The sequence below is a fragment of the Homo sapiens genome, chromosome 2 (assembly GCF_000001405.40).
Source record: "Homo sapiens chromosome 2, GRCh38.p14 Primary Assembly".
Classification (NCBI taxonomy): domain Eukaryota; kingdom Metazoa; phylum Chordata; class Mammalia; order Primates; family Hominidae; genus Homo; species Homo sapiens.
The window spans coordinates 897,368-916,285 of NC_000002.12; the positions used below are offsets into that span (position 1 = coordinate 897,368).

General features: G+C 44.2%; 1 long non-coding RNA gene across 1 annotated transcript, besides 2 other annotated features; it reads right to left on the reverse strand.

The window, feature by feature from the left end:
- Positions 1-2,848: 2,848 nt before the first annotated feature.
- Positions 2,849-8,084, reverse strand: LINC01939 (long intergenic non-protein coding RNA 1939). Its single transcript, NR_110179.1, has 4 exons — positions 7,853-8,084; positions 4,525-4,592; positions 4,195-4,351; positions 2,849-3,085 (listed from the first exon to the last, which is right to left on the reverse strand). It is a non-coding gene; the product is annotated as a long intergenic non-protein coding RNA 1939 (long non-coding RNA).
- Positions 12,178-12,679: an enhancer, noted in NCBI's record as "H3K27ac-H3K4me1 hESC enhancer chr2:905231-905732 (GRCh37/hg19 assembly coordinates)". NCBI's record gives its function as "activates a minimal SCP1, AML or CMV promoter by ChIP-STARR-seq in naive H9 embryonic stem cells {active_cell/tissue: H9 hESC(naive)}" and the evidence as "EXISTENCE:reporter gene assay evidence [ECO:0000049][PMID:30033119]".
- Positions 13,225-13,725: an enhancer, noted in NCBI's record as "H3K4me1 hESC enhancer chr2:906278-906778 (GRCh37/hg19 assembly coordinates)". NCBI's record gives its function as "activates a minimal SCP1, AML or CMV promoter by ChIP-STARR-seq in naive H9 embryonic stem cells {active_cell/tissue: H9 hESC(naive)}" and the evidence as "EXISTENCE:reporter gene assay evidence [ECO:0000049][PMID:30033119]".

Sequence of the window (18,918 nt, forward strand, 5' to 3'; positions counted from 1 at the left end):
GTGAGAGTAGCTGTGGGGCTGACCCCTGCAAAGTCACAGGGCTGGAGCTGCCCAAGGCTTTGGGAGCCCACCCCTTGCACAAGAATCCTCTTGATGTGAAACATGGAGTCAAAGATTATTTTAGAGCTTTAAAATTTAATGACGGCCCTGCTTAATTTTGGACTTGTGTGGAGCCTGTAGCACCTTTCTTTTTGTCAATTTCTTCCTTTTGGGATGGGAGTATTCACCCAAAGCCTATACCTCCACTGTATCTTGGAAGTAACTAACTTGTTTTTTATTTTATAGGCTCATAGATAGAAGGAACTTGCCTTGTCTCAGGTGTGACTTTCAAGTTTGAATTTTGAGTTAATGCTGCAATGAATTAGGAGGACTGTTGTGAGGGCATGATTGGATTTTCCAATGTGAGAGGGACATTACACTGGGGGGGGGCCCGGGGTGGAATATATGGTTTGGATCTGTGTCCCCACCCAAATCTCACATGAATTGTAATCCTCAGGGTTGGAGGTGGAGTCTGGTGGGAAGTGATTGGATCATGAGGGTAAATCCTTCATGAGTGGTTTAACACAATCCTCTTGGTGATGCTCTCATGATAGTAAGTTATTGCGAGGTCTGGTTGTTTAAAAGTGTGTGGCACCTCCCCCGTCTCTTGGTCCTGCTCCTGCCATGTAAGACATCTCTTCCCGTGTCACCTTCCACCATGAGTCAAAGCTCCTTGAGGCCTCCCCAGAAGCAGATGCTGCCATGCTTCCTGTACAGCCTGCAAAGCTATGAGCCAGTTAGACCTCTTCTCTTTATAAATTACCCAGTCTCTGGTATTTCTTTATAGCAATGTGAGAATGGACTAACACATCAGGCAAGCCGTAGAATTGGGACTTATCCCAGGAGGGTTCTTGCTTCACCCAGGAAAGAATTCAAGGGTGAGCTGGGGGTGACAGAAAGCAACTTTTACTGAACTGGTGCTGCCCCTTGCAGAGCAGGGATACCCCATGGACAGCACACCCAGAGTTTGCACTTGTGAGCTCTGAGCCAGCTGTTTTGAAAAAATATCTAGAAAAGGAGCAGGGAGTTTCCAGAACTATGTAAGGTAACTTCCATGTTGTTGCCATGGCATTTGTAAACTGTCATGGCACCAGTGGAGGGGTCTTTATGCAAATGAGTACTGAGGGAAGTTAAGGCTGCTGCCATCTCCACCTGCTGGCTTGGCAGTTTCACTGCACCATTTCCACCCCATCCTGCTCTGGCCGGCAGGGTCATGCTGCAGTCCTGACCGCTGCTCAGAAAACAAGTCCTGCTGGTTTCCCATCTCAGATTTATAGACATTAAAAATGTTTTTGGCAAAATCTAACTCCCATTCTAATACAAACATTCTATAAAATATAAATTGATGGATATTTCTTTAACACATTAAAATATAATAATGTTTTATATTTCATTGTATTATAGATATCTTTTTCTTGATATATGTAAATGTTTTATATATTTTAGTAGGTTAAGCAAGTATTTATCAATTCACATGTATTATATATGCAGATATAAGTATGTACAACTATATATAGTTCTATAGTTATCTATAAATATGTAAAACTATATATAGTAAATATAAATACATAAATATATGTAATGTAATATATGCAAATATGTTTAACATAATTATATTTCTCCTAAAGCCAGCATCATATTTAATGGGAAACCACTAGATATGTTTTCATTCAGAATGTGATACTGGAGAAACCATTATGGAGGAACTAGAAAACCTGAATTGAGAGACAATCATTTTAGATAATCAAAGCCAGCAAATTATTGAAAATATTGTATGATTTTTTTAATGTAACATAAGATCAGTTTAATATACAATACTCATACCTATGTAATAGATAGTACTAGAAAATTTAAAGTGAGAAAAACATTACATTTCAGAAACACTAATTAGATAAAGATTATCTTCTAAATTTTTGAAACAAACATCATGCTAACATTCTACTAAGCTTAGTAATCAGACAAGGAGGAAGGTGTCCCCTCACTTGTAAAGCATTGCACTTTATTTTCTATTAGCCACATTAAGATAAAAAATAACAGAGAATTCAGAACTGTATGGGAAAAGATAATATATTTTGTATTACTGACAATATTTTTATACAGAAAATTCAAAGAAATCTGAAAAAAACTCTAACACTAATAAGAGCTTTCACTCAGATGGTCAGATAGAATACCAACATTTTTTTTTTAAAAAGCCATTGTGCTCATTTTCAACAATAATAATCAGAATTTTTAATGGAAAAACAGAAACTTATTTTCTCACAGTGCTGGAAGCTACAAGTCTGAGATGACAATTTAGTCATTCCTGGACCCTCCTGAGGCTCTCCTTGGCTTGTAGATGGGGCCTCTTCCTGTGTCTCATGCAGTCATTCCTGTGTGTGTGTCTGTGTCCTCATTTCCTCTTCTTATAAGGACACCAACCACATTGGACCAGGGCCCACCCTTATGACCTCATTTTCACTTAGTTACCTGTTTAAAGGCCCTATCTCCAAATACAGTCCCATTGTGAGGTACTGGGAGCTCGAGCTTTAACATATGAATCTCGCAGGGATGCAGTTCAGTCCATAGTAACATCAATAAAAAAGGTCAACCCATTAAAACATGGGCAACACACATGAAAAGGTAATTTGCAAGTAAGAAAACCTAAAGTCAATCTTCTGAACACCAGTACAAAATTACCTGAATTCAGTTAAACATAAATCAAAAATAACAATGTGATGTTATATTATGGCTATAGTATTTGCAAAAATTAATAGGTGTTAGAATGTGCAGAAATGGAAACTATTGTGTAATGAAGTACATGCATAAATTGTTCAAAGTGATTTGATCAATTTGGCAGAATAATAAATTTTCAAATGATCCTGCACTAAGAACCAGCAAATTTGCTAGTACACCCCAGATTCCATTCACCCAGAAGTGCCCATCACCAGCACTGGAGCCAAGTAAGTCCACTCTGGTGTTTGATGTCTCAGCCAGCATGAGAAGGAAGACATCTGATCGTCCATCAACCCAAGGGCAGGGGTAAAGTGACCCAAGGACTTCAATGAGACTAAAAAGGAAAGCAAAGGGGTGTTTCTTGAAGCAGATTAGTGTTGGAACATTAATAAGAATTATAGAAACAATTTTAATACACAAATAGAATTATCCAAAACATCTGAATTCTTAAAATTTTATAATAGATTCTAGCAGCACTTTTAATATTTTGTTTGACACACTAAAATTCTTTATAATGGTATTTAATTACATAATAACTAACATTCCTGTTTTCATATTAAATTACTGGTTGAACTTTGTTCATGTGTCCACAAGTACCTTTCTTTGAAAGCCAAATATCATCATCAAAGTGTTTATATAAAATGTATAATATCTTGATACATGCATTTCATTAAAGCCTAAAATGAAAACTTGAGTCAAAAATATCTTTACATTGCTTTTCTGATGAAATTGTATTTAGATACAAATCTTTTATTATCATGCAATAAATATTTCTATGATTCATAGTAGAAATGCTTTTGCAATTCATGATTGAAAGTCTAAATGGGAGAATATTGATCCTCATATGTCTCTATTCACATACATAACCTGACATTTCATTTAGAATGTAAACCATATAGGTAGGTTAATAGTTGTGATGTTATTGCTTCTTGATATTTAAAGAAAACATATTCAATGATCCAATAAATGAAGTCCATATGTATTGGCTCTAGATAGAAGATAAGGAATATGTTACTTTAATTTTGCTTTGGATACTACACTTTATTTGGTGATGAAAATATACAACTGAAGATTTTGGAAAAAGTCTAAAATCCTTTATTATTCTAACATTGTATGACTTGAGTTACCCACTGGCTGCAAGAAATTCTGGTAGGCAGCACAAGGAAATCATACAATAAAGACTAAAATCAGTGGGAAGTTGGTAGATTTGTGGACTTCTACCCAGTGACAAATTATGTAGAATTTTTAGAAAGTTCATTTTCACTGGTAGAATTATCTAAACTTTTAAAGCAAAAACTAAATAATGTATTTTAATGATAGATTTTCATGGTGGAGAGTAAAGAAAGAACATTGAAAACCCACTAAAACCCCACAATCATTTCCTTTTTTTGTGGGGCGGGGAGCTTTATTATCAGTCAGCCTGTAATTTAGTTGATAAATTACCTGCATGTCTTCCTTTCCCTTTCCCTGGAAATAAAACAAAATAAGAGAGGAAGGTGCACTCTCCAACATTCGGCTGCACAGGCCAGGCTGCGTTCCTCCGCCAGGCATGTGATGTTTGGACAGGGGTGCTATTTTCTCTCTCAGAGTCCATCTGTGACTAGAGTAAAGTGAAAGGTTTAAAACCCATGAGTTGTATATATTATTATAAAAGGAAGGGCCTGGCCAGGTGCGGTGGCTCACACCGAGGCAGGTGGATCATGAGGTCAGGAGTTCGAGACCAGTCTGGCCAAGATGGTGAAACCCCATCTCTACTAAAAATGCAAAAATTACCTGGGTGCGGTGGCGGGCATCTGTAATCCCAACTACTCAGGAGGCTGAAGCAGGAGAATCGCTTGAACCTGGGGAAGCAGAGGTTGCAATGAGCTGAGATCATGCCACTGCACTCTAGCTGGGTGACAGAGCAAGACTGTGTCTCAAAACACAAACAAAAAAAAAAAAAAAAGGAAGGGCCTGATTGTTCATTTATTCATTTGTTCAATTAAAATTTCACTAAAAAAATTATTTTACAAGAAGATGCTAAAACATTGTTTTGTGTTTTTCTAATTTAAAAAAAGCAGTAGATGTTGATTATCTTTCCAGCCATGATGAAGTAACTGAGGCAGGCTTAACGTTCTGATGTAAACAACTACAAAATTGGGCAGAAGACAAGAGGCTGGGCATAGGATCCTGTGCTCACACCTCCATTAGGGGGTTTCTGGGATGCAGCCCCACTGTGGCCTCACTCTGCAGGTCACTCTTGAGAAGTCAGATGCCTACTTTGTTCTTTGGCCTGGATGAGGAATGTGATATTTTATCTTCAGGCCCTTAGGATTGTGTTTCATTATCTTTAAAGTTCAATAGTTTTATCTGGCTATGTCTTGGTTAAATATGCCAGGCCAGTTCCTGCAGGTCTCAGTAGGCCCTTCTGACATGTAGCGTCAATGCTTCTTTTGTTTCTGGAAAAGTTATCTAACTCTGGTTTCTCTAGCTCTGGCCCTAGGTTTGTTCAGGACTCCAGTTAGACATATGCTGGCTCTTTGTTGGCTCTCTTGCATGTCACCAATGTCACTCTGACCCTTTTTTTAATATAACTCATTTTGATAGTTCATTTTATGTGTCAACTTGCCTGGGCTATGGGGTGCCCAGGTTTTTGGTCAAACATTATTCTGGGTGTTTCCATGAGGGTGTCAGTGCCTGAGATTAATTTACTTTGGTGGACTTTAAGTAAAAAGCAGATTCCATAACATGGGGGTTGCACCAGGCCTTGCACCCCTAAAGGCCTAAAGACCCCCACTCCCTGGCTCTGAGAGAACTCTGCAGCCCACCTGCTTCAGACTCCAGCTGGAGCGTTGGCCCTCCTGGGTCTCTGGCCACCAGCCCAACCTGCAAACTGTGGACTTGCCAGCCCCATAATTACGTGAGCTCACTCTTCCTTCCAGGGATTCTGTTTCACTGGAGAACTCTCATAAATCATTTTAATTTTAATTTTTGTTGTTTTCTTGCCTTTCTTGAATGTCTCAAATTGTCACTCAATCCAACCATTCTTGGTTTTGGTCATTTTTATATTTCCTACTAAAAAGTCCTTTTCCTTGTTCAACCAACTGCTTGGTAAGGATATTTAATTTAAGGTGCAGTATTGTGCTCAGTTCCCTTCTCTGTCACGGTTGTTTTTTGGCAGTGCATTTTTATCACCTGAAATGGCTTGATTCTCATTTTGTGTTTTCTTCTACTAATAGCTTTTTATAACGCTGGGCTGCTTTTGTTTACTTATTTCTTCTGACCGTTAGAGGCAGCGGATAGGATTCCTTGTTCAAGAGCTCTCTCTTCTGTCAGTGCAGCAGCATTCTGTTTCTCGCTGCTGTCCTGGGGGAAAGTGGTGTGTCATCTGGTTTCTGCTCCTCTTTGGTCTTGCAGAACCCCACATTTTCCTCTCTTGCTTCTCTTTATTTCTTCACTCCTCTGCTTCCTAAGGGTCCTTCTTCCTTCTGATTTACCCTTTTCTTCAGAGGCAAAGCAGCTCTGGGCATGCCACGTGGGTCCTGGAGATGCATGTCTCCCTTCCCTGGAGCTGCCAGCCCCTGGGAGGCTTCTCTGCAGTTTTACCACCACAAAGTGGGTTTTGCTTAACGGCAGCTCCTGCTCCTTTTCTCCATGTCCCTCCTGTCCATGTGCCTGGACTTTCCTCAGTGTCCACCACTGTGTTACCTTTGGGATCAAAGGTAGTCGATCTGCTGTTGTATGTTGATTATTTCACCTGCAGGTGATTGAAACACACCACCTCTCTCTCCCAGGCTTGCCAAGGGAAGAGTTCTACGTAAAGTTGTTCTTCATGCTCATCTGCATAGTTATCTTGGAGATGTTTGAAAAGATTTAGATTCAGGTGGCTGCCAATATCTTCAGGCAACCCAAAGTCAAATTAACGTTTTTATTTTATGTAAATCAATGATTAGAAAATTGATTTTACATATTTTACATAATTATCACCATGGGACTCATTATTTTGTTGCCACTCGTCAACCTGTTAATTCTGCATTTATAGTGATTTGTAATAGTTTTTCTAATTAAGGCAAACTAAACGAAATCAGTTAATAACGAAGTAGATTTTATCCCTCATGTACGCTAATATAGACTAACATGAAATCCCATAATTTATCTTATCTCAAAGCACATTTTTATACCAGGCAGCTGATTTGGTTTCTGCCCTCAGTCTATTCTCTCTCACACAGACTCCCCTTTTCTTTTTCTCTGTTTCTGTTTTTCCTGTCCTTCGCACCCTCAGCAGGGAGCTCAACTTCCTGGCACTATTCTCACACACATGTCAGGTGTAAACATCTTTATGGGGGAAACAGGCTCTGGCTGTCTCACAAAGCTTTAGTTGTCATGCACATGTAACACTTTCATTCACTTCTTAAAGGTGATTTACATGAGCCTCGCACAGCTGAGACGTATTTCGCTGCTTACTAAACCTTGAATGATGGTGCGTCATTCTCATTAAAACAAGGAAGCACAGGAAGGTGGAAGTATAAATTTTTGTGAGTGTTTCTGGCCCACTATGAAAGTGCGACAGCGGGCATGGCTGTCTAGGCCTCCCTGGCAGCACTGGTGTGGGGGCTCCCAGGAAGGAGTAGAGGAGGGTTAGGAAAAGGATGGGAGGGCCACGGGCCTGGCAGCTGAGCAGCACCTGGGCCCTCACAGCTCAGATTGCAGAGCAAAGAGGGAGCCACGTGTGGAGGGTGGGGAACATGGAGCGAGAAGGGGAGGGAAGCACAAAAGGGAGCACAAGAGGAGAGAATGGAGGGGAGCATGGGAGGGAGCATAGAAGGGGGCATAGAGGAAACACAAAGGGAGCACTGGGGAGAGCATGAGAGGAACAGGGGAAGCACAGGCGAGGTAGCACAGGGGGGAGCACTAAGAGAGCACACCGCGGAGCTGCCTCCACCCAGGCCTGGCATGAGCAGGGTTGACCCCAGAGCCCAGACCCTTCCCCCAGGAGCACAGGGAACAGGCAGTGTTCCCCCACAGTGGGGGCGGGAAGGAGAGTCCAAGGGCCAAGGAAGGGCTGATGGTCCATTTCCTGTGGAATTGCGCCAACCTGATGGCATCCATAAGGCACACTTACCATGCTTGGGTTCTGTGGTCAAGTCCAGAAGAGGCACGTCCTGCTCAGGGCCCCATCGGCTACCCTCCGTCCCCAGTACCTGGAACTATGTATGGCACCAGCCCTGGGGCAGGCACGGGCCTTGGCTTCTGAGCTCCAGGGATGCCCCAGACCCCCTCCCTTAGCTTCTGCTTCTTGGCCTCACATCCAACTGCTGCAACGGCACCTCTGCACCTGCTGGTGGGGGTGACGCCTGTCCCTTCTGCACCTGCCAGCCAGGGATTATGACCTGTCCTTTCTGTACCTGCCAGACAAGGATTATGACCTGTCCCTTCTGCACCTGCTGGCTGGGGATTATGACCTGTCCCTTCTGTACCTGCCAGGTCGGGGGTGATGCCTATCCTTTCTGCACCTGCTGGCTGGGATTATGACCTGTCCCTTCTGCACCTGCCGGCTGGGGGTTACGACCTGTCTCTTCTGCATGTGCTGGCCAGAGGTGATGTCTGTCCAGTCCACATATGCCGGCATGGGGGCTGACTGGTCTGTCTCTCTACATCTGTGGGCTGTGGTGACTGGTCTGTCTCATCTATCATCTACACCCACCAGCTGGGTATAATGCCACAGACTCTGCCTGCTCCTGCGCTGGCACATGCTGTAGCTCCTGGGGAGTAACCTGAGGAGTTACCTGGGGTGTGTCTGGCGCAGGTGACCTCTGCATGTCACTGGCATTGCAGCAGAAGCCGGCAGAGGACCCAGGCCAGCAGAGCTCCTTCCCTCTTAGCTGTTGGCCAGGAACCCCCTCTCAGGAGCTGAGGGCACCTCTGGATGGAGGGCAAGACAAAAACATGTTCTAATCAGAGAAAATGGTTGGTGGAGTGCTCTAAGTGCAGGATGGGTGGATCTGAGAGCTGGGGGTCCTTTGCTTCTCCCGCCCTCACGGCAGGGCTGGTGCAGAGGGGATCGGCCCAGAGGTCTGAGGGGCTCTAAGAGCAGGAGATAAGAATTGCAGGAAGGTTCCCGGGAGCAGATTTTAACTAAACAGTATTAGTTAAGCTGCATTTCCATAACTAATCAATTTTAATTAACAGAGCCCATGTATCTGGAGTTAATTTTGCTATGTTCTTAATAGGAATAGGAGAATCTTTCCTATAACAGCCATATAGAAAATGTATTTCTTCAGCCATATTCTTTCTAACTAGTGTGGACCTGCTTAAGAATGCACTGTCCTGTATCTTATCTCAAACAGGAATTTATCTAGTCTATATTCGAGATTATCATGAAATCATATTAGTACTTTATGAGCTAAAGCATTTTGAATCACGTTCCAAATATTATGTATACTCCATAATTTCCTGTATAGATCATTAAATTCCCATATATCCCAATTTAAGTAAAAATACATTTTTAATTACCTGAGCTTCATAACCCCAACTTTACCATTTAATTAAAGCACAGACTTATCAAAGTCTCCAAAGCATGGGTGGGTCAAGTTTAATACTCATCTGGCCCACTTTCAATGCCCACTAGGTCCTTCTGGAAATGAACTTCTGAATAAGAAAGGATTATTAATTAGTAATTAGTATAATTAATTATTAATTATCTACATTAATTAGAATGAATGCACATAGCGCATATTATTAAAGTAAGTCACAGGAAATGGTGAAATCCTTTCTAAATCACTGATTCAAACAATAGTCAAAAGAGCTGACTACCTCATAAGACAGAAAATGTCATAGTCCTGCTCCAACGTTAATCTGTCCACTTCAAATATGTCAATTCTATTTACGGCAATTTGCCTACATTGAAATTCATTGATGTATGATAGTGCTAAGCTGGCCCTGTTTTAAGATACAGTTATGTGATCAGAAATTCAGAAATAAATAAATCATGTAAATTTTACTATTTTATTTTACTATTATGAGACTATACAAACTTTGCAAATGTTTATAGTGGAGTCACTTTATTGATTTGCATTAGAAAACTATATAGCAAGTAGATACATTGCCTTGCAAGGCAACAAATTCCCTCAAAGGGGGTTAAAATTATAGTAGAGCAGTGTTCTCTTTACTCTTTTATAAGGAAGATTCAAATGCCACATAGTCCCTCAATGAGATCACCTCAGAAGTCTCCTGCTGCTCTAGAGCCTATGATTGATTCTTCTTGGTCAAAAATAAACAGGTGCCAATCCTTGCCAACTGCCACTGTCTAATTAAGAGATCCATTTTCTCTTTGTTGGATAAATGTAGAGTCCTCAGCCTCCTGCCTCTCCTCCCTTTAATGGGGTTGAATTTGGGAAACGTTTCCCGGCAGGAGCAATGTTGTAATAGGCATAAGGGAGGCGTGTGTGGATCCAGCACACCTCTACTGGAGAGGAGTGGAAGGCAGACCACAGAGGTGGGGGACAGAGAAAGAAGGAGGCTTTAAATTCCTGCTGGAGTAGTACGGATTTTTTTCCTGTAATTGGTGGCAATCTCTGGAAGGTTGTTGGCTGGGAGAAGCACACCCAGGGGCAGCGGAGGAAGATTGATATTGTATTGTTGTTCCAAGTAGAATGGGATAAAAAGGAATTCACAGAGATCAAAGCTTCGGGACCTCATCTGTAGGCCACAGCACACTGTTTGCAATTCTCAGACCAGATCCAGACACTGCTCTTCTCAAGCCTCGGCACCCAGGGTCTTAGTCACCAGCAAGGCTCTCTCGAGCTTTTGCATCTAGGGACATACATCTTTCTTTTCCACCTGGTGATGTCACCTCCTGAAATGTCAGGTCAGATGGCTCATTCTCCATGTGGCGTATCTGCTTATACTGAGTTCCTCCCTTTATTCTTCTTCCTTGGTACTTTGGTTTTGCTAATCACATCCTTACTGCCATTTTCCGTAGATCGCAAGAACTCTTGTAGATAGATATTTGCCCCATTGATGCTGAGCTCTTTGCCTGGTCAGGATGATGCCCTGATCCTGTTTGCACCCCCATCCTCTCTAGGGCCCTAAAACAATGTCCCATGGTTGATGCACAGCAGATATTTGCTTTTTGTCACTGTTTTTTAATTCATCAGTACACCTGAAAAAAAATACTTACTTGTCTTTTCAATGTAAGCTTATAAAGTGATAAGTATTTTAAAATGTAATGGCCACACCTCAATAAGTGTCATTATCCTCCCACTAGGATAGACTTAATATGTAATGTTATAATTCTGTTTAAATAGTAGATTACGTTAGGAAAGGAGAGTAAAGAAATGTGACTTTGAACAAATAATATCTCTTCCCTTCAGGGTCAGAACTAGCTGGAGTTATTCTGATGATCATTACCTGATTGTTAAATTCAGTTTGGACAATTTGGAGTCTTTATGGACACAGAGTCCCCAAATGCAAGGTGCAGTAGACTGAATGTCTGTCCCCTCAAATCTGAAACGTTGAAATCATTTGGGAAAACTGAAATCAGTTGGTCTTTGGGAAGGCATGAGGGTGAAACCCTCCTGAATAGGATGAGTTCTCCCATAGAAGAGGCCCTGAGAGCTGCCCTGCCCCTTTCCCCAGGTGAAGACACAGCCAGATGGTGTCTTCTGGAAGGGAAGAGGGCCCTGCAGACACCGCATCGGCAAGCACCTTGGTCTCAGACTTCCAGCCTCCGGAGCTGTGAGACAGGTCTCTGTGGTTTAGAATCCACCCAGGCTGTGTGATTCTGCTGTAGCAGCCTTAATGGACTAAGATACAAGGTAAAATGTCATTTGCTAAAGGAAGTAAAAGAACTGGAGACATTAAAAATATACAGGAAACCTGCACATTTATCAGAAAAAATAAAAAGCTGTCATGTGCCCATGAAACCAAGTGCTAAAACAATATCTACAGTTTCTTATTTCATTGTAGTCAAATTGCTATCTGTTCTCGATGACCAACTTCAAACAGCCTCTTGTCTCTGAGGCTTCCCTTGCTAACTCCTCATGAGTTTCCCTCCTACTTCCACAGCCTGCTGGGATTTTTGGCATCCAGACTGCCTTCTCCCATACAGATAACTCCTCTAACCCCTTCAGTCATGCACATTTATGGCAATGTTTCTGTGTAATTGCATCTGTGTCTGCCTTGTTCAAAAAAATATTTACTTTATCAGCATCTTAAATGTAACAGTTCATTTTATCGATGAGGAATCACTAAGGAAATCTCTAAGCAGCAAGCTGATCCCCAAGTTCACATCGCATATGATCAACGTACCTACGTGTATTGCCAAATCTATTCCTTTCCTTAAATTGAGTCTAAACTGGACAGACATTTAATTTCAGAAAATGGATTATTGAATTTGCTGTACATATGAGTCAACTTCAAGAAACCCTAGGCCACTTCCCGGTTGTAAGCCACATAACCAAGAAAGTCTAACTGACCAGTGCAGGCAAAGCCGAAGTCAGCACTTGTTTAAAGACTAACCAGACACCAGAGGCTTCTCACCAAATCCAGAAATTTCACAAAGCTGGTGTTTCATTTCCTCCCAGCCTCCTCGCCTGCACTGGGTCTGGTCTTTCATTTCCTCCCGGCCTCCTCGCCTGCACTGCGTCTGGTGTTTCAGATCCTCCCGGCCTCCTCGCCTGCACTGGGTCTGGTGTTTCATTTCCTCCCTGCCTCCTCGCCTGCACTGGGTCTGGTGTTTCATTTCCTCCCGGCCTCCTCGCCTGCACTGGGTCTGGTGTTTCATTTCCTCCCTGCCTCCTCGCCTGCACTGGGTCTGGTGTTTCATTTCCTCCCGGCCTCCTCGCCTGCAATGGGTCTGGTGTTTCATTTCCTCCCGGCCTCCTCGCCTGCACTGGGTCTGGTCTTTCATTTCCTCCCGGCCTCCTCGCCTGCACTGCGTCTGGTGTTTCAGATCCTCCCGGCCTCCTCGCCTGCACTGGGTCTGGTGTTTCATTTCCTCCCGGCCTCCTCGCCTGCACTGGGTCTGGTGTTTCATTTCCTCCCGGCCTCCTCGCCTGCAATGGGTCTGGTGTTTCATTTCCTCCCGGGGTCCTCGCCTGCACTGCGTCTGGTGTTTCAGTTCCTCCCGGGCTCCTCGCCTGCACTGGGTCTGGTGTTTCATTTCCTCCCGGCCTCCTCGCCTACACTGGGTCTGGTATTTCAGTTCCTCCTGGGGTCCTCACCTTCACTGGGTCACCAGGGGAGTTGCTGTGCCTCTGCCGTGCCCTTCGTTTGCTGTGACCCCACATCTTAACACTCTGCCTTCTCATAAGCTGAATTGCTTTATTTAATTAATTCAAGTCAGTTTATTTCCACAGACATTCCTGAGGGCCCACAGCAAGTCGGAAACCAAGCTCAGCACTAGGGAGATGAGGATGACCCAACAGCCTCTGCACCCCAGGGCTCGCGATCTACTGGAAAGTGATAGTATTGTGAAAACTGCATAAAATATGAACCAGGGAGTGAAATATTAGCAGAGGAGGTGATAGCGCTCCAAGAAGAGAGAGCAGTGTAGGCAAGTTAGGAAACACAACTTCAACATCGGACCTGTGTCTTGAAGAATGATTAAGCGTCTGTGGGTGCAGCACCCTGAAAGGACAACACGCAGGAGATGGTTGGGAGCGAGGGCAGAGCTCTGCGAATGTTCAGAGGTGGGAGACGGCTGTGGAGTGAGGGCAGAGCTCTGCGACTGTTCAGAGGCTGTGGCGAAGCTGGGACACCCCACAGGAGACGGCTGTGGAGCGAGGGCAGAGCTCTGCAAATGTTCAGAGGTGGGAGACGGCTGTGGAGCAAGGGCAGAGCTCTGCGAATGTTCAGAGGCTGTGGCGAAGCTCGGACACCCCACAGGAGACGGCTGTGGAGCGAGGGCAGAGCTCTGCAAATGTTGAGAGGCTCTGGTGAAACTGGGACCATCCACAGGAGATGGCTGTGGAGCGAGGGCAAAGCTCTGCAAATGTTGAGAGGCTGTGGTGAAACTGGGACCATCCACAGGAGACGGCTGTGGAGCGAGGGCAGAGCTCTGCAAATGTTCAGAGGCGGGAGACGGCTGTGGAGCGAGGGCAGAGCTCTGCGAATGTTCAGAGGCTGTGGCAAAGCCAGGACCGCTAAGCACAGTGGCCAGGTAGGAGCCGCCGGGTGCTGTCCAGTTGGCGAAGGGCCTTGGTTATCTCCATGTGAACTTAGGGATGTGTCTCATACGCAATGGAAAGGCTGGCAGAGGAACATAAGAGGGAGGCCTGTGCTTTAGAAATGTAACACCAGCAGCCTGTAAGAAAATGGGATGAAAAGGAAAAGATCCTTAGAAAGGAAACAAACAGCTTTAAAACTATTCAAGTGGTAGTCAACATAAGATACGAGTGAGGAAGTTTTACTTGAAGGTAATAGCAATAGAAGGGGAAAAGAAGAAATGGGGTCAAATTCAAGAGACTTTCCTATGGAAAAGCCTAATTCTGTGAAAAGAAGCCTTAAAGACTGGAATTTCCTGGGAAGCAGAGCTGTTTCTGCTCCCCAAGCCCGGGCAGGCAAAGGCCAGCACCTCTTCCAATCAGTTCACACATGTGCGGTTCAGGCTGCTGAGAACTTTCACCACCACTCTTGCCTGGGGTATGTGTCCATAGTCTCTGCTTGATGTGTTTTATTTGTTTCTTCTTCAGGTTTCAGTAAATTTGCAATAAGCTCCAACAATTTTCTTATTTGATCAGCCTTGTAGGGAAATGCAAATAAAACAACATAGAGAACTTTCAGCTCTGGACAAGATAGAGGAGACACATGATTCCTATTTCTCCACCTCAGTTCCACAGACACACCTGGACGTGACACAGGAAACACACCGAAGGCCGCTGTGGAAGGGGCAGGGGTGACAGCAGACGGGACAGAGGCCTCGGATCCAGGGGACAACACATCTGCCTTTTCTTCTTGTTTTTATAGTTTAGTTTGTTTTTTCTCTGTAGAGAGAAACCTAAAACCTAGAAACACTAACTGGTAAAAACAAAAAGGGCTCCTTGATCTCAGACAGAGGACTGGGAAGGGGACCCCAGAAAGTCTAGGACTGGAGGCAGAGGCCATTTGATGCTTCAGACGTAAGCTGCCGTCTCCCATTCACTTTTACCAGAATCCCACATTACAGGTTACAGGATGAGTAATCAGGAATTATTATTTGTGCATAAATCCTTGAAGGTGGCCCAACATATTTGCCTAGAAAGGAGGGAATCAACTCCTGGAGCCTCGTGAAGTGGCGTATCTGATCAGTAATGCACACTGTGAAGTGGAAGGACCTTACTATTCATCTGTGTGAAGGGGAAGGACCTTAGTATTCATGTATGTGAGGTGGAAGGACCTTAGTATTCATGTATATGAAGGGGAAGGAGCTTAGTCTTCATGTATGTGAGGTGGAAGGACCTTAGTCTTCATGTATGTGAGGTGAAAGGACCTTAGTCTTCATGTATGTGAGGTGGAAGGACCTTACTATTCATGTATGTGAGGGGGAAGGACCTTAGTATTCATGTATGTGAAGGGAAGGACCGTAGTATTCATGTATGTGAGGTGGAAGGACCTTAGTATTCATGTATGTGAGGTGGAAGGACCTTAGTATTCATGTATGTGAGGGGGAAGGACCTTAGGATTCATGTATGTGATGTAGAAGGACCTTAGTATTCATGTATGTGAAGGGGAAGGACCTTAGTATTCATGTATGTGAAGGGGAAGGACCTTAGTATTCATGTGTGTGAGGGGGAAGGACCTTAGTATTCATGTATGTGAGGGGGAAGGGCCTTAGGATTCATGTATGTGATGTAGAAGGACCTTAGTATTCATGTATGTGAAGGGGAAGGACCTTAGTATTCATGTGTGTGAGGGGGAAGGACCTTAGTATTCATGTATGTGAGGGGGAAGGACCTGAGTATTCATGTATGTGAGGGCGAAGGACCTTAGTATTCATGTATGCGAAGGGGAAGGACCTTAGTATTCATGTATGTGAAGGGGAAGGACCTTAGTATTCATGTATGTGAGGTGGAAGGACCTTAGTATTCATGTATCTGAGGAGGAAGGACCTTAGTATTCATGTATGTGAGGTGGAAAGACCTTAGTATTCATGTATATGAAGGGGAAGGACCTTAGTATTCATGTATGTGAGGGTGAAGGGCCTTAGTATTCATGTATGTGAGGGGGAAGGACCTTAGGATTCATGTATGTGATGTAGAAGGACCTTAGTATTCATGTATGTGAAGGGGAAGGACCTTAGTATTCATGTGTGTGAGGGGGAAGGACCTTAGTATTCATGTATGTCAGGGGGAAGGACCTTAGTATTCATGTATGTGAGGGCGAAGGACCTTAGTATTCATGTATGTGAAGGGGAAGGACCTTAGTATTCATGTATGTGAAGGGGAAGGACCTTAGTATTCATGTATGTGAGGTGGAAGGACCTTAGTATTCATGTATCTGAGGAGGAAGGACCTTAGTATTCATGTATGTGAGGTGGAAGGACCTTAGTATTCATGTATGTGAGGGCGAAGGACCTTAGTATTCATGTATGTGAGGGGGAAGGACCTTAGTATTCATGTATGTGAGGGCGAAGGACCTTAGTATTCATGTATGTGAGGTGGAAGGACCTTAGTATTCATGTATCTGAGGAGGAAGGACCTTAGTATTCATGTATGTGAGGTGGAAGGACCTTAGTATTCATGTATATGAAGGGGAAGGACCTTAGTATTCATGTATGTGAGGGTGAAGGGCCTTAGTATTCATGTATGTGAAGGGGAAGGACCTTAGTATTCATGTATGTGAGGGGGAAGGACCTTAGTATTCATGTATTGGTTATGGTTTCACCACTGAATGACACTGGACAAGTTATTCGGACAGTCTAAAACTCAGTATGCTAAATTCATAACACGGGGGTAATATCAATATCTATGTCATAAGTTAGCATTGAGAGGAAATGTGCGTAAAGTGCCTAGAACATGGGAAGCTTGCAGAGAATGTTGGCTAATTCAATGATCATTGTCATTCTTTTCCTCGTCATCACTATCATCATTTGATGTTTATTTTGGAGACAACATTAGTAATCAAATCCCATAAATGTCAACACTTAGATTCCACAAGAAACACTGGAAATGTTACAAAAGGCACTGAAGAGCTGGTTATTGCTCTTATTCTGCAAGTTAACAAACTTCCAGCCTCCGTGTGGAATGGCAAACCAGATGCATGTGTGTGATCCTTCAGAGGGAAAATAAAGCTGTTCATGGCAGACTTACACACACATGTATTCAAAACACAGTATGTGTGTTTCCGCACTGAAAAATCTTTTATGTGGAAATTATTTTGAGTAAAAGTGTGACGGAGACTAACTGGCTGTTCCTCAAATCACCTTCCTTCTTCTCCTGATCACAGAGATAATCTCCATCTAACCTCCACCCACTCTTCAAAGTCTGGTATGGCCATGAGTTGAGTCCCAGTCGATGGGATATGAGTAGAAATAATCCATGCAACTCCCAGACCTGGCTTCTGAACGCCCCTGCACAGTGTTGTACCTGCAGGGATGCTGGTGCTGACCATGGTCCAGAACCCACAGGCACAAGATGGAAGGCCCCTTCCACGCTCTCCCAATGACTGGGCACCACAGGGATGCCGGTGCTGACCGTGATCCAGGAACCCACATGCAGAAGATGGAAGGCCCCTTCCACGCCGTCCCAATGACTGGGCACCACAGGGATGCCGGTGCTGACCGTGATCCAGAACCCACAGGCAGAAGATGGAAGGCCCCGTCCATGCTCTCCCAATGACTGGGCACCACAGGGATGCCGGTGCTGACCGTGATCCAGAACACACAGGCAGTAGATGGAAGGCCCCGTCCATGCTCTCCCAATGACTGGGCACCACAGGGATGCCGGTGCTGACCGTGATCCAGAACCCACAGGCAGAAGATGGAAGGCCCCGTCCGTGCTCTCCCAATGACTGGGCACCACAGGGATGCCGGTGCTGACCGTGATCCAGAACCCACAGGCAGAAGATGGAAGGCCCCATCCACGCTCTCCCAATGACTGGGCACCACAGGGATGCCGGTGCTGACCATGATCCAGAACCCACATGCAGAAGATGGAAGGCCCCTTCCACGCCCTCCCAATGACTGGGCACCACAGGGATGCCGGTGCTGACCGTGATCCAGAACCCACATGCAGAAGATGGAAGGCCCTGTCCACGCCCCCCAATGACTGGGCACCACAGAGACTCCACCCTTCACTGCCAAACAGGAAGAGCTCCCCAGGGTCACTGCATTCTTCCGTAACTGTTTTTGTGTGAAACCCTTGCCATTTGGGGGTTTTTACAGCAGCTATAATTAATGAATACAGATCAGCATATTGAAGTTGAATGCTGACATGATAATAATACAAGTTACTTACTTGGAGTTGATGTGTAAATTACACGAGGCATAGAACGATGCGGACTCCAGACCTGCACCGCGGAAAACTCACTAAAGCTGTCTCCAAAGGGCTGCGAAGGCGACCATGCCTCTACCCAACGTGCCACTCTCAGAAAACCACCAGAGGGGCCAGTGACAGAGACTATTGTGTTTCGCTTACTGTGTTAAGTTATACCAAGGGAAAATTATCTTTGAAAATATTAGACATTTTGCCAGCAGAAATAATTGGATCCTCAAAGGCTTGGAAACATTGTCTTCTTCTAGAACTCAAATAATAGGAAATAAAACCGGAAATAAAAAAGAAATGCTTTGAGAAAAATGTTAAAAGCCCAGAAAAGTTTCTAGTTGAAGAAGAAAATGTATCCTTGTGGCAGAAAGCAACCTAAAGACATCCGCTTTTGACCTAAACGGTGCTTCCATGTGTCTTCAGAAGAGCCACTGCTAAGTTGAAAATGCACGGTATGGGGACAAGCTCCTTCTTATGTGTAGAGAAACAAATTCAGTGCGGTTATGGAGCCCAGCACAGGACACAGGATCCCGAAACATGGTCCCCACATCAGAAACTGCACAGTGGAAACGCTATGCGATAGCCACGCATCCACCACCCAGGACAGGATGTGAGGGAAGCAGAGGCGGCACGTTCCAAGGACGTGCTAGGTTTGCAGCCATCAGGACTCGCATATGCTACTGGTAGAGTATGAATTACTAAAACCACGTGGGGGAAAAAGTGTAGC